We start from the raw sequence: 14,828 nt of genomic DNA on the forward strand, positions 1-14,828 counted from the left end.
GTGCACCTGTAATCTCAGCTACTTGGGAGGCTGAGACACGAGAATCTCTTGAACCCAGGAAGCGGAGGTTGCAGTGAGCCGAGGTTGCAGTGAGCCAAGTTCACATCACAGCACTCCGGCCTGGGCAACACAGTGAGACTCTGTCTCAAAAAAAATAATAATAACAATAATTTTATAGTGAGCAAATTGGTTAGTTGATTTGATTGTGGAGATACCTGGAAAATCTTTGTCATATTATTGTTTTAATTTTTTTTAACCATCTGAGAAAATACAGTGACATATTATTGTTTTAGGAGCTCTCACCAACTACTTTACTTTCTCTTTTATGCTTTTATTTTACAAAGTTAGGTCAAAGCTCATTTCCAGTCCAATTGTTGAGGTTCACTCTTTTCTATCTCACTTCCTGAAGATACTTCTAGCTAGTGAACATTTACTGGGCAACAAGGGAATTCAGGCCAACAAGAACCTGGAAGCCTGAGACACCAGACAAAATGTTACAGCACAGGGATCATTGCAGGAAAACGTTTCCCATTTCAGTTTTAAAGTTTCTGCTGCTTTGAAGTCCAAAATATCCAATAAATAATTGCAATTTATAATTGAAGTAAAATGCAGAAGACTACTACAAAAATTTTTAAATTGACATTTATTAAATTCAAACAGTATTTGAGGACTATCTAGTTTATATACATGTTGAGGTTGATAAAGTATTGAGGACTATCTAGTTTATATACACGTTGAGGTTGATAAAGTTCAAATTCTGTTTTAGGAAGTTAACAATGAATTGAGTTCATTTTAACTGAATGTTACTATAAAAGATGGTTTTCTTGCTGCAATGTAAATCTGCTATTAAGAAATTAGCAAAGTGGCTGGTGGTGTTTGTGCCTTTAAGATCATCGTTCAAAAGAATTCAGCAAACTCGATAACAAAGGTAAGACAAACATAACCTTTATTCTCTCTCAAAAACCCAGAGAACAGGGCCTGGAACCATATTCGTTAATTTAACCAGAATCAGAATACTTTAACTTTCATAGTCTCATTTAAAATTTTATAGCAATATACTGACCATTCTAAAAATAACAAAATACATGTTGCTCTCAACTACATAGTTAAAAAAGGTAGTAAATTCTCTTACCCAAAATAGAGGAGGGGTGGGCTAGTGAGCTGCTCAAACATTTGTAACAAATAAAAATGTATCTATATACATATAATGATCATGTTTTCATAGCCTAAAATCACCATACAAAATCTAATAATAAAATTGTGTCGTGTTCAGGAGTTGGGAAGCCAACACATTAAATTAACAAAGTATTTTTGGTATATGTAAATAATGGGATAGAATCTCTCGAATCAGGATTGTCCCAGAAGTTCTAAGGCAGATGTCAATGACATGCACATTGTCCATGTTCAGTAATTTTCAAAGACTAGAATAAACTATGTAAACTATTCAATACAATTCAATATTACTTAACTGCTAAAAAGTACTTCAAGATCTTGCACTGCCTTGAGTGAGTATAATCAAGTTAGTAATTGGAAAATAGCTGTAATAGCAGGCACTGAAGAATTCTGACAAATACCAAATAACTGTTTGTTTTTACCAAATAAACTGGTAAGATGATATCACAAAGGGTTTTAAGTTATTTTGCTATACAAGGTTTTTAAAAATAAACTATTGCTTCTTAGAATAACTTTAAACATACTGATTGATGTTAATCAATAAAATCAATGGAATGATTTTAGTTGAGTGTAAACTTCATCTCAAAGGTTCAAATAATCTTAAGAATCTAGTTTACATATAAGACTATATATGCTTTAACATTGATTCAAATATGATTACTAGAAATCAATAGATTTCATTTGAAAAGATAAAAAAAATTTTTTTTCCAGGTCCAAGGGAAAAGGTATGAATGAAGCCCTTTCTAATCACACACACACACACACACACACACACACACACACACAATGACAAAGAACACTGAGCTAGGAGACATAGATGTGACTTTAGGGAACTTACTTTCCCTCGAAGATCTCTTCCAGCTATCTGATTCTACGTTAAAGCATTTCCTCTGAACTGTACAAACTGGCCTCACATTTTCGAGTTTCTACACAGTACCTGGCAAAGTTTGCCTGTTGGCTTTTACACCAAAATACTAAAATATCAAATGAATCACATAAACCCTGTCCTACAACTCTGTATGCCAACTAGTTTTCCCCAGATAGTAATTTTTTAAAAATTCATTCCACAAATCATCAAGAGCTTCCTACGTTCAAGGCAGAGTGCCAGACCAAACCTGGAACATCATGGTTGTCACTGCCCCTGGGAACAAATTACTATCCGAAAAAGTGAATTCAGTTGACTGCTTCAGGCCCAACCTGGTTCAGGGTCGTGATTCCCAAATTTGAGGGAATATGGGACTCTCCAGTGGAGTTTGTTAAAACACAGCTTCGAGGATCTCATCCCAGCCTTACTGTGTCTGAATCTCTGTTTGGTGTCTCCTAATCTACCTGCATATTTAACAAGCATGTTCTCCCTCACGCCTCCACGTCTCTGCAGGTAATTTGTGGGCCTCACTCTCCATTCCAGCCCACTCTCCCCGACCAAAGAAAAGAAAACCACTGTACTGTAGTGGCGAAAGCCCTGGACTCAAGATTCAGGAGTCACTTGCAGCTGCCTGATCTTTGTTACTTCACATTGCTAGGTCTCTCAATCTCTTCCTCTAATAGGGGTTTAATAGGAGTCTCCATAGGGATCCCTTCCACTCTCAGACTTGAAGAACCTCACATGGCAACTCAGTGTCGTGAAGGAGGTGGGAAGAGTTTGCAAGGATGTTTCACTCTGCAGTCAACATCCCTCCCCGCGGCAAGACAGTCTAGCAGCCCCCCAAGAGCAAGGGGGGTAATTCCCTTATCTGGTCCCCTCATTCACAAAGGGAGGAAAAGCTAGGCGAGGTTGGAATTGGGTGACGGGCGAGGAGGAGATGCCAAAAGCACCTTGCAAGAGTTTTGGCAAGAAGCAGGAGGGATCCCTGGAAAGCCGGAATCACTCCTCGTCGTCGTCGTCCTGGTCCTGGTAGCGAATGTAGACGACCAGCATGACAAAGCCGGTGAGGATGCAGAGGGAGCCGACGACCAGGTAGGCGATGCCCAGGAAGGGGTTCTTGCCACCCATCCACGAGATGCTGCTGAAGATGAGGAGCTTGTGGCCGCCGAACGCGCGCACCGGGTAGTTGTAGGTGATGTTGACGCGGTAGGCGCCCCGCGGCAGCCCGGCCGAGTAGTTGCCCTGGCGGATGCGCGCGTACAGTTTGCGGAACGTGGGCAGCGCCGCCGTGCGCATCCACACCACGAAGTCCTGATTGATGAAGCCGGTGTTGTTGGGGTCGGGGCTGAGCTCGTAGACTGGCCGGCGCCAGTTGGGCGGGGGCGCCGTGCCCTGGAAGGCCAACGCCAGGCTGCCGTTGACCAGCGGCGGGTTGCGGAACTTGACGTGGTAGTCGGTCCACCAGGCGATGCCGGAGCGGTCGAGCGGCACCTCGACGTAGGGCCCGCCGGGCTGGCGCTGGTGCCAAAGCGAGAAGGAGTCGTTGAAGAGGCTGTTGGCGATGGCGCCGCAGGGCGCGATGGGCAGGCCGGCCGCGCTGCGCTGGTAGGGGGCGCACTCGTTGACAGGGTGGCGCAGCGCGCTGGGGAGTCCGCTCAGCTGCGCGTCGTCGCGGGACACGCCGTAGCGCCGGTTGTTCTGGTAGAAGTTGGTCAGCTCGTAGTAGAGGTACACTGGGCCCTGGAAGAGCTCGGGCAGCGAGAAGTACCAGGCGCACGAGCAGGGGGGCGGCAGCGCCCGGCCCTGGCCAGCCGCGGCGCACACCGAGCAGTTACCGGTGCCCGGGTCGCCTGTATAGTCGTACTCCAGCTCCTTGATGCCGTTGGAGGAGTAGTAGAGGCCCAGGCCCAGGCCGATGAAGGCCAGGCCCGCGCAGAAGAAGAGCGGCAGCGCGATGCTGGCCGACAGCAGCGGCTGCCAGGCGGGGAGGCGCTGCTGAGTGAAGGCGGTGTTGTCGGGCTGGTGGGCGCCCCGGGCCGTGGCGCTCCAGGTCATGGCGGCCGCGCGGGGACCGACGCGCGGGCTGACCGAGTGGGGGCCCCGCCGCGGGGCGCCTCCCTCTCCGCGCCGCGCAAGCCCGGGGACTGCTCGCGGGTCGGGTTTCCCGCCAGCTCAGGTGGGTTTTTGCCCGGGCCCCTCCTCTGCCTCCGTCACAGGTGAGTTTAGTTCCAGGCCCTACGAGCAGTGCCCACACCCTCCCAGTTCCGCCTCCGCCCAGGTGCGCTGCACCCCCGCGGGTCACCGGGAGCCGCACCTCGCCCGCCCCTTCCGAGGTGAGCAGGTGGGTGTTTTTTACCTCACCTGGTAGACTCAGTCTCGCGTTTCCTCTCAGTCCAGGTCATCGGACTCCACCTCCTCTCCTAGGTGAGTGGCGGCCCCGGGCTGCCTCTGAGTGGCTCCTACCTGGCTCAGGTACCACCTTCTCTTCCGCCTTCCAAGTGACTAGAGTTCCTGGGCCAGTCTCCCGAAATCAAAAGGCGCTCCGGCCTCCAGCAGAAATTTTTGCTGAGGGCTTGCACCGTGGTCCTGGAGGCTTGAAGATTTCAGATCCTTAATCCTCTGTTATTTGCGGGGAAAAGGTGGCTCTAGACCATTTTGTCTTTTAGGTTAGCTTCACAAACCGCTTTCGCCCAGCTTTCAGTCTCAAGTTGGGAGTGTCCAGGGAATTACGTTATGATAAATCTGTTTCGAATTCAACGCCTGCGTTCAAATTTTAGCTTTTTTTTTTTTTTTTTTTTTTTTTTTTTTTAAGGGAAAATGATTTTCTGGCCAGATCACCCAGTCTGGCTGTATAACTAGGAAATGTGGAAAGTTCTCTAAAAATAAAATCATCCTTAAAAAGAATCAAAGGCTGGAGAGGTTCAGAGCCTTTAAATAACTCTTAGCTGGTGTGGAGAAACCAAGAAAGGAAAAAATGTGCTGGACTACATGTGATTTCGTTTTCTTTTCAGATTATTTGCCTGACTAGAGAAAGGCCCAATCCAAGGTCCCAGGAGACCTAGCTGCTATCCACAAAAACATCTGGAGTGTCTGGCCTAAGGAAGTAAACTACAAGGATTTATAGGATTTATTATAAAAAGAACTCAAATTAGCTCCCTATGTTGCCTGGGATTCTGGCTTTTTTTTTTTTTTTTTTAAATCTAGGTTGGTAAAACATATACAAGGGGGTATTGGGACGTTCTGATTTCTTACTAAATCTAAATCTTCCCTAGGTATTGTGTTCTTGCTTCTCCTCCAGCTTGTAAAATGCAAGTAATACAAATGTTTTCTCTATTACACTACACCTAGCATAATATATTATATTCAGGAGTCATTCAAAACCCATTGAACTTGGAAAGTTAAAATCCTTATTAAATTTAACAGAGGAATGTTGTTAGCATCTTCCAAGTGTTCAGTCCTATGCTAATTAGACAAAAAAGGACCTTTGACCTCAAGGCATTTGCAGTTTGATAGGGGACATATTAGGAGTAAGAAACAATCAAAATAGCCAATAATAGCTATGAATCATAGGGTGTAATCAAGTATCAAATTGCATTCTACAAGTCACATTAAAATTAAAAAGTAATATTGATTTAATAATGGAACATTGATTCCAGTTTGTTAAATGAATGCAAGTTGGAAACCAGGTATTATAGAAGACTGAGGGAAATTCAAGTGACTTGAATTTCAATTCCCTCACTTCTTATCATACCCAAAGAGAGGAAGTTCCAAAATTCTCAGCAAGTTCCCACAGTGTGATCCAGTCTCCAGTCACCCTTTTTTTCAATAAAAGAATAAATAGTTCTTTGTATCATTATGGTTGAGTTCCACCCACCCGTTTCATTGAATCACTAGTCCACAAAACTCGTCTCTAGGAAGGAATTCAGTTTTCACAACTTTTGTAGATTTTTTTTTTTTTGAGAGAGAGGTGTCTCCCTCAGTTGTCCAGGCTTGTCTCAAACTCTTGAGCCCAAGAGATCCTTCTGCCTCAGCCTCCCAAATTGTTGGGATTATAGGTGTGAGCCATCACACCAAGCCTATCTGGTAAATCTTAAGTCTTTTTTCTAGTAGATCACCACCACACCCCTAAAAGGGCAAGCCCCATTCTTGAGCTCAGAGCCTTTCCTCCTTTTCTCCTATTCCTGGATGGCCTAAAGGTACTAGTTTATTCATTCCACTAATTAAGGTGACAGATTTTCAAAGTCAAAAGAGAATATTTCAAGACAAGGAATGGTCAGCAGAGTTAAACACAGCTGAGGGTTCAAGTGAGATAAATGAAAAGGAATTATGGGGTTTGACTTTTGTGGGAACACTTTGGGTGGTTTGTGTGGCAGGAATGAGGTTACCATCAGGTGCAGGGAAAGGGAAGCAGATAGCAAGATAGGAAGACACTCTTTTTTTATTTTTATTTTTATTTTTTGGAGATGAGGTCTTGCTGGGCATGGTGGCTCATGCCTATAATTCAAGCACTTCGGGAGGCCAAGGCAGGAGGATCACTTGAGCCCAGCAGTTTGAGACTAGCCTGGGCAATATAACGAGATCTTGTTTCTACAAAAAATAAAAACAAATTATCTGGGTGTGGTGGCATGTGCCTGAGGTCCCAGCTACTCAAGAGGCTGAGGTGGGAGGATAGCTTTAACCAGGGAGTTATGATTGCGCCACTGTACTCCAGCCTGGACAACAGAACAAGACCCTGTCTCAAAAAATAAAAATAAAATAAAAAAAGAGAGAATGGGGTTCTAAAGGGGAAAGCCTGTTTTTAGAAATGTGTGGAAAGGGAAGGAGAAAGGCAAGTGATAACTGTCTAGAAGAGCATGTATCCTAAAGGAAAGGCTTCTTTTTTAGATGTCAGAGAAGTGTGTATCCTGAGGGAAAAAGATAATAGTGCAGATGAGGTTGAAAAGAGGGGTGGCAAGCTTACTGATAGTGCAAAGGCAGGAGCAGGCTGGAGACGCTGATCCACCAGCCAGAGCCACTGGTTTCAGAGAACAGGTGCAGAGTTATCTCACCTCTGAAACAAGAGGGCAGGGTGATAAAAATGCCCTCTGCAGAATGCAGCTGGGTATTGGGCTCCCGCACCTCAGGCTGGGAGAAAGAAATGACTGAGTGTGACCAGCATATGGTGGTTTTCAGGGCAGATGAATTTGAAAGATAAAAAATTCAAGGTATTGCAGTCCTTGTGGAGGGGTGGCTAAAGAGATGTGCCTTAGTAGTTAATCTGAAAGGCGAAGAAAATGAAACCAACCCTGTGGATCAAAAGAAAAAGAAGATACTGGTAGATTGGCAGTCCTAATAATGTTAATTGGCAGGTGCCGTGAAAGCTGGGAGGAAAAAGTGCTGGTATGAGATGGGGTGTTAAAGATCTTGGAGGTGAAGCTGTACCAAGGTCCATGTATACACTATATTTCCCCTACCAGCTCGTAAGTTCCGAGAGGTGGAAGACTGATATAGATATACATTGTCGTGTTCCTCAGAGTTCACTATGTAAGGAAGGTTCAGATCTCATTTCTCTCATTTTATTACATATGTTGTGATGTATTAAAGGATGCTTGGATCATGTAAACTCTTTAGTACCAGTAAAATAAGAAACAAGTTCACTCTAAAATTGTTTTTTGTATCAGTGTTATTAAGAACTCAAAGGAAAAGAAAAAAGGCATTTCTAGTCCAAATACTGCTAAAATCACTTCATTTTTTCATTTTATCTCCCAGACTTTATCCATGTAAATATTTAATTTTTAATAGATTGTAATTAAGATATACACACAATTATTCTAGTTGTCAAATTACCTCATTTTGGAATGAGATGAAGATTGAAATAAATATTTTCTATGTTCCTTAATGGTGCCATAATTCATAGGTCTATCATATTTAACTATTGTTGGACATGTAGGTTATATCCAGTTTTTCAGTATTCCAAAGTATATGATAGTGACCATCTTTTCTGCATATAACCCTTTTTAAAAAAAACTATGTGTCTCCCTTTCCCCCTAACGTTTTCTTTCAGATTTTTTTCCTTGGGATAAAATTCTAAAAGTAGGAAAGGGACTTAAAGGTGAAGCTCTTTAAAAATACATACTGCTGGAGTCATATTTACACTGCCACACCAATGTATATATTTTGATACTTTCACCAAAAATTTGCCAACAAAACCAAGAGCTAAGCACAGAATATATTTAGTCTATGCCAATAAACTCTCAGATACTAGGAGAATAGTATTGGATAGGGGAAAGAATGCTGGCCGGACCTTAAGGAAGTTCAGATTCTACCCTGAAAGTTCCTTAGGATATAACTGTGTGACCTTGGTCAAATTGCTTAACTTCTCTGTTCTCATGATTGCTTATCTGTACGAACGTGTTTACCAAAATGATTGTTAGTGTGTCTTTTTTAAGCAAAGATTTCTGTTCCTAGTCTTCCTTACAATGACTCATTGAATAATAGCTAACTTTTATTGAGTACCTTCTGTGAATCAGTACTTACAGTCACTGCGTAAACACTTTATATACATTGTCCCATCTAATTTGTACACAAATGGGGGGCATTCAGTCCAATTATACTCAAAGAACTGATGCAAAACTAAGATTCAAGCCAGTGCAATGGAGGCTGCCTGAGTTCTCATAGTTGTAATGGGGAGATGAGGGATTCAAAGGGCAGCTTAATTCCAGTGTCCTGTTTCTTCAACCATGCTACACTGTAAGGCCTTGGCATATTTCCTCCTCAAAAAACTCCAAAAACGTTAACCTTGAACCAGTGTTTATTGTTGCAGATCTTCTCTTAACACCCCAAAGATAAGCAAACTCTGTTCCATTTACACAGAGTCCCAGGAACAGCTGAGTTGCTTGTATTTTTGTTTTTACAAAAGCTTTTGTTTTAAATCCAACTTTTGTTTAGCATGCTCATTTCTCTTGCTAGAATAAAAATAACTTCACTTGTCTGGCTGTTCTCAGTTTTTGCATGTAGTTCATTTAATTCATGACTATTTATCTTACTGTAACAGAACCTGGGTTTTTAATTGGCATTCCCTTATATAGGTTTATACTGCTCAAGATTGTTGCCTATTACTCTGCCCATGGGGCAGCTTTTATTTAAAAAGAATCAAATTAAATTGCTTCATAAAATTACAGCATGCGCTCAGAAAAGTTTTAAAAAAATTCTTTGTGCCTGGACTTCATTTTTTATTAAGAACTGCATCCAGCAGACTTCTGTTTCAAAAGTTATGGAGTGGTACCCCCTAGTGGAAGATGCAGAGAAACTTTAATTAACTAGCACTGTAAGCACCAGAGGCACAAAAGACAGAAGCGAATTCTCTCCACTCCCTGCCACGGTGTGTTGGTTCTTTGTCACTAACTTACTGCAAAACAGTGGTCAAAGAGAGGGTGAACTCACACCTGTAATCCCAGCACTTTGGGAGGCCGAGGCGGGTGGATCACCTGAGGTCGGGAGTTCGAGATCAGTCTGACCAACATGGAGAAACTCCGTCTCTACTAAAAATACAAAATTAGCCGGGTATGGTGGCGCATGCCTGTAATCCCAGCTACTCGGGAGGCTGAGGCAGGAGAATCGCTTGAACCTGGGAGGTGGAGGTTGCGGTGAGCCGAGATCACGTCATTGCACTCCAACCTGGGCGACAAAAGCGAAACTCCATCTCAAAAAAAAAGAGGGTGAACTGTGAGCACAGTTGGGTGGGTTGAGTTGCAGGGGGCAGTATAAAGTGAAAAATGGGACTGAGATGGATAACAGAAGGTCTTAAACAGCAGAGGCATTAGGTATGGGATGGCCAGATTAAAAGACAGTTGGCAGGGTGCAATGGATCACACCCATAATCCCAGCACTTTGGGAGGCCAAGGCGGGTGGATCACCTGAGGTCAAGAGTTAGAGACCAGCCTGGCCAATATGGCGAAACCCCGTCACTACTAAAAATACAAAAATTAGCCAGGTGTGGTGGCATGCACCTGTGATCCCAGCTACTTGGAAGTTGAGGCAGGAGAATCGCTTGAACCCGGGAAGCAGAGGTTGCAGTGAGCTGAGATCACACCACTGCACTTCAGCCTGAGCAACAGTGCAAGACTCCGTCTTAAAAAAAAAAAAAAAAAAAAAAAAAAAAAAGATAAACCAGCAAGGATAGGGCTGGACTTGAATTGTGTGGGTAGAGTTTGGCTGTAGGGGTTGTGCTTGGTGAGTTGGCAGGAGAGCAACACCAGAATAGGCAGAGGACAAGTTAGGTGACAGAATTGAGACAGAGGGGAAGGAAGAGCTCTGTACTGGAAAGAAGAGAGGGGGTTGACTCAGAAGTGAATTAGGGCCACGCCCGGTAGCTCACGCCTGTAATCCCAGCGCTTTGAGAGGCCAAGGCAGGCAGATCACTTGAGGCCAGGAGTTTGAGACCAGCCTGGCCAACATAGCGAGACTCCATCTCTACTAAAAATACAAAATTACCTAGGCATGGTAGTGCACGCCTGTAATCTCAGCCTCTTGGGAAGCCGAGGCATGAGAATTGCTTTAACCTGGGAGGTGGAGGTTTCAGTGAGCTGAAATTGTGCCACTGCACTCCAGCCTGGGCAACAGAGTGAGATTCCGTCTCAAGGAAAAAAAAAAAAGAAACTGAATTAGACTGCCCAGTGTGGCCAGTGAGAGGGGCTTTATACCCAAGGTGAGGACTGGAAGAGGGAGGGGGACACCATGACAGTGTCTGTGGAGCCAGCCAATCTTTTGAGGCTAGAAGTCACCTCCTCTGCCATCCTGTCCCCAGTGTAGTGAAACTCACTGGTTTGGGGAAGTCTTCACCTCAGCGACCTCAGACTGGCTTTACCCTCTGCATAGTGACTATATCTGTTTGAAACTTTAGGAATTTCTTACGTATCAGGTAAATAATTAAACATTTCAAAAATTTCAGAAAGTTATCAGATTTTAAAATTGAATAAATATATATTGCTACATCAGAGCAAAGCCATATATTCTAACAGCCATAAACTAGGGAGAGAGGGGTGACATCCTTTAGGAAAACTCAGGTGCCCAACAAAGACATGCTTAGATGTCTTTCCCTATGTGATATCATCAATGAGCCAAATACACATACTCTGTTTTTTTCATTTCTTCCCCCAGAACCACCGGAAAAAAAACTAAATACAAATTAAATTTTATTTTTTTGTAGAAAGAGAGTCTAGCTCTGTTGCCCAGGCTGGTCTTGAACTCCTGAACTCAAGCGATCCTCCTGCCTCAGCCTCTCAAAGTGCTGGGATTACAGGCATGAGCTGTGGTGACAAGCCTCAATAAACATACTTTCAATTCCATTACCTAGGTCACTGATTCAAATGCAAAAATACCTTGGCCCAGCACCCTAGGAACCTATGTCATGTGTGCTGATCAATACTGACTTGTTAATATTCAATCTGGAGATCGTATACCCATGGAGTGTTGTAGGGGCCCCTGACTTTTTCTCTGAATAGTAACTCTGAATTCGTAATGGCTGTGTTTAAATTTTTAGTTTTCTTTCTGTAGGAAAAGTTCTGTGAGGATGGCTGCATTGTGTCAACTTCTAAGCCAAAGTTTGGGAATCTTAATGAAACCAAGACTGTAGATGTTACCAGGAAGTTCACTCAGAGCAGGCTCTGATGTGATGATAGGAGCTCTGGGAGCCACTCACCTACTTCAGCTTATTTCATCTAGCAATTCTCTTTGACTTAGTCGGAAATTTCTGGGATGCAAGGAACGGAAACTTATTCAAATCAGCTTTAATAAAGAGGTTGTTATTGTTCAGAGATGAGGGATGTCACAGAAGGAAGAATTGAAGGAAGCAGATCTGGCTGTCACAGGAGTAGAACGTCATCAGGCAGCTCCCTTCTCTCTGCATTGTCTTGCCTCTGCTTCTCTCTGCAGCTCAGGCAGGCCATCTTCAGCAAGGCTCTTGGTTTTTGCACCTCCATATCTTGGCTTCTATGGCTTTTGGTTGCCACAGCTTTGACTCTGGCACCAGTGCTGTGTCACCTTGCAGGTGATACAGGCATGAGCCACCACACCCAGCCCCACTTTTAAAACATTACTGGGTGAGCAAATTCCTTAATAAGAACATCTCTAAACCCAAGTTAAGTGTAAAGGAAGGGGACCAGCATGATGAGAATCTAGATCCAAAGAGGACCAGTTCAGGGAACTAAGCATGTATAGGCTGGGCATAAAAATCTTGAGGTGAACATAGTAGCCATCTTCAGCATCCTTAAAAGGCAAGGAGTGATTTTATTCTGTATTACTCCAGAAAATGAACCTAGAATACATGAGGGTCATTACCAAGGAAACTGCCAAGGCCAGGTGCAGTGGCTTACACCTGTAATCCCAGCACTTTGGGAGGCCAAGGCAAAAGGATTGCTTGAGTGCAGGAGTTTGAGACCAGCCTGGGCAACATGGCAAAATCCTGTCTCTATAAAAAATACCAAAATTAGTTAGTCATGGTGGCATGTGCCTGTGGTCTCAGCTACTCAGGAGGCTGAGGTGGGAGGATCACTTGGGTCCAGGAGGTGGAGGCTGCAGTGAGCTATGATTGTGCCACTGCACTCCAGCCTGGGTGGCAGAGTGAGACCCTGTCTCAAAAATAAACTAAGTATTGAGGGTGACTTTACACAATAGAACAACATGCAAAAAATACTTCACAGCATAAGAGTGAAGGCAGAAGGAATATATTTTGTAAAATAGAATGGAGCTGAGTGAGAAGCTGGTTTGTGAAGCACCTGCCATGAAATCCTGTGGCCTTGCTGGTGGTAGTCTGCAGGGCTGCCTCAGGTTTCCTAGTGGCCAGAGAAGGGAAAGGATAAGTCATTGCATCTGTGAGAGAAAATAAGCCATTAGCTCAGAAGAACTTTAAAGATTTCTGCCTGAGAGAATAGGAAAAATGTGTCCAGGCACGGTGGCCCATGCCTGTTATCCCAGCACTTGGGGAGGCTGAGGCGGGCAGATCACAAGGTCAGTAGATCGAGACCAGCCTGGCCAATATGGTGAAACCCTGTCTCTACTAAAAATACAAAAATTAGTCGGGCGTGGTTGCGGGCACATGTAGTCCTAGCTACTCGGAAGGCTGAGGCAGGAGAATTGCTTGAACCTGGGAGGCGGAGGTTGCAGTGAGCCAAGATCACACCAGTGCACTCCAGCCTGGGCGACAGAGAGAGACTCCATCTCAAAAAAAGAAAAAAAAAAAAGTAAGAATAATGTTCTCCTTGGGATTCTCCCAGAGATGTGAAACTGGGGAAAAATAACATCTTTAACAACATACTTAGGGTAAATACCTCAGTGAGTTCCTAGGATTGTTTCTTGTAACATCTGCCAGAGTGAGACAGGATGGTGCTCGGTCAAGGCACAATTCAGAGGCCCCATGATCCAGTCTGGGTGTGCCATTCTGTGGGTCTCTGCCCTGATGTCTAAGGATAGGTTAGAGGACCTAGCAGTTTTTCCAAGATGTCCTCTGAGGGGCAGCTTCCCAACATCCCATTCTCCTATCCTTGGGCTTCTAAGAAAGACAGGGTTTGAACAAGGATTCTGTGGTTTAAAGAGTTTGAAACTGACCTAAAAGAAATGGGTGCATTGCTGTCCTTCACATAATCCTCTGCAAATATCTCTCATTTCCCAAAGTTCAGTAGTTAAGGAGCAGCAGTGAGTTACAAGATTAAGTATCCTTCAGTTAATAGGGTTGCTTAAAAAAAAAGAGAGAGATTAAACATCCTGATAAGTTCCTGGCACACACAGCATCCGTGTTGCCAGTTAAATACAGAGCCATATGTTTTAATAAGCCAGCAAGCTAGGGAGGGATTGACAACTTCTTATTAAAACTGAGGTACATAGCAAGGACATATGGTAGACAGAAGGCCACTGCACCTCAGCTTGGAGGTGGGCTAAGAAAGGACTGTCTGTCTGTGCTCAGATTCTCCTTAAGAAATAATTTAGTGTTTGCTCCAACAAGATAATATGCCAAGTACAGCCTCAGAGATTTTAGCCTGAACAAAATTTAAATTTCTTATAACCAAATGTCAGTTTTATCCATAAACAAATCTCAGTAAGTCCCTTATAGAACATCTAGCTTTTTATACTGAGAAGGGTATATGTGCATAAGTTTTAAAATATATATAAATTAGAAAGTTGGGTTTGGATTTAGAGCAACTGGCCCTTCTTTGTGATAATAGCTAAGATCAATTGTCTATTAATGCCCTCTGGTTCTTTTTTTTTTTTTTTTTTTTTTTTTGAGACGGAGTCTCGCCCTGTCACCAGGCTGGAGTGCAGTGGTGCCATTTTGGCTCACTGCAACCTCCGCCTACCGGGTTCAAGCAATTCTCCTGCCTCAGCCCCCCAAGTAGCTGGGACTACAGGTGTGTGCCACCACGCCCAGCTAATTTTTGTATTTTTAGTAGAGACGAGGTTTCACCATGTTGGCCAGGATGGTCTCGAACTCCTGACCTCAGGTGATCTGCCCGCCTCGGCCTCCCAAAGTGCTGGGATTACAGGCGTGAGCCACCATGCCCAGCTGCCCTCTGGTTCTTGATAATGAAACCATAGCATTGATGAACCAGAGAAAGCCTCTGATGAACCAGAGGAAGGTCTCTATATTTCTTGTAATTGGAGTAAACACTGTATCTAATCCTCAATGGACTGTTACTCTTGACCTTGAAACGCGGTGGTATTAAGTGCAGGTTTCTTATAAGCTTTTGTGGCTGAGGGTGGGAGTGGGGATGGGGAATCAATACTGAGCTTGCATATCTCAGCCTATAACTGATTTCAG

At 43.8% G+C, this 14,828-nt stretch overlaps 2 protein-coding genes across 2 annotated transcripts in view, besides 1 other annotated feature; one reads left to right on the top strand and one right to left on the bottom strand.

The window, feature by feature from the left end:
* Window positions 1-14,828, top strand: part of PRKCH (protein kinase C eta) — a 363,509-nt gene that overhangs the window by 89,587 nt on the left and 259,094 nt on the right. The window lies entirely within an intron of this gene.
* Window positions 316-4,284, bottom strand: TMEM30B (transmembrane protein 30B). The gene has a single exon (NM_001017970.3). It carries the CDS (start codon window positions 4,091-4,093, stop codon window positions 3,038-3,040), a length of 1,056 nt encoding a protein of 351 aa, NP_001017970.1. The 5' UTR covers window positions 4,094-4,284; the 3' UTR covers window positions 316-3,037.
* Window positions 2,746-3,709: an enhancer, noted in NCBI's record as "H3K27ac-H3K4me1 hESC enhancer chr14:61746518-61747481 (GRCh37/hg19 assembly coordinates)". NCBI's record gives its function as "activates a minimal SCP1, AML or CMV promoter by ChIP-STARR-seq in naive H9 embryonic stem cells {active_cell/tissue: H9 hESC(naive)}" and the evidence as "EXISTENCE:reporter gene assay evidence [ECO:0000049][PMID:30033119]".

Source organism: Homo sapiens, chromosome 14, assembly GCF_000001405.40.
Source record: "Homo sapiens chromosome 14, GRCh38.p14 Primary Assembly".
Classification (NCBI taxonomy): Eukaryota; Metazoa; Chordata; class Mammalia; order Primates; family Hominidae; genus Homo; species Homo sapiens.

Bases quoted from the DNA above. Each gene is read 5' to 3' on its own strand.
- TMEM30B (NM_001017970.3), bottom strand. From the start codon at position 4,093: ATGACCTGGAGCGCCACGGCCCGGGGCGCCCACCAGCCCGACAACACC.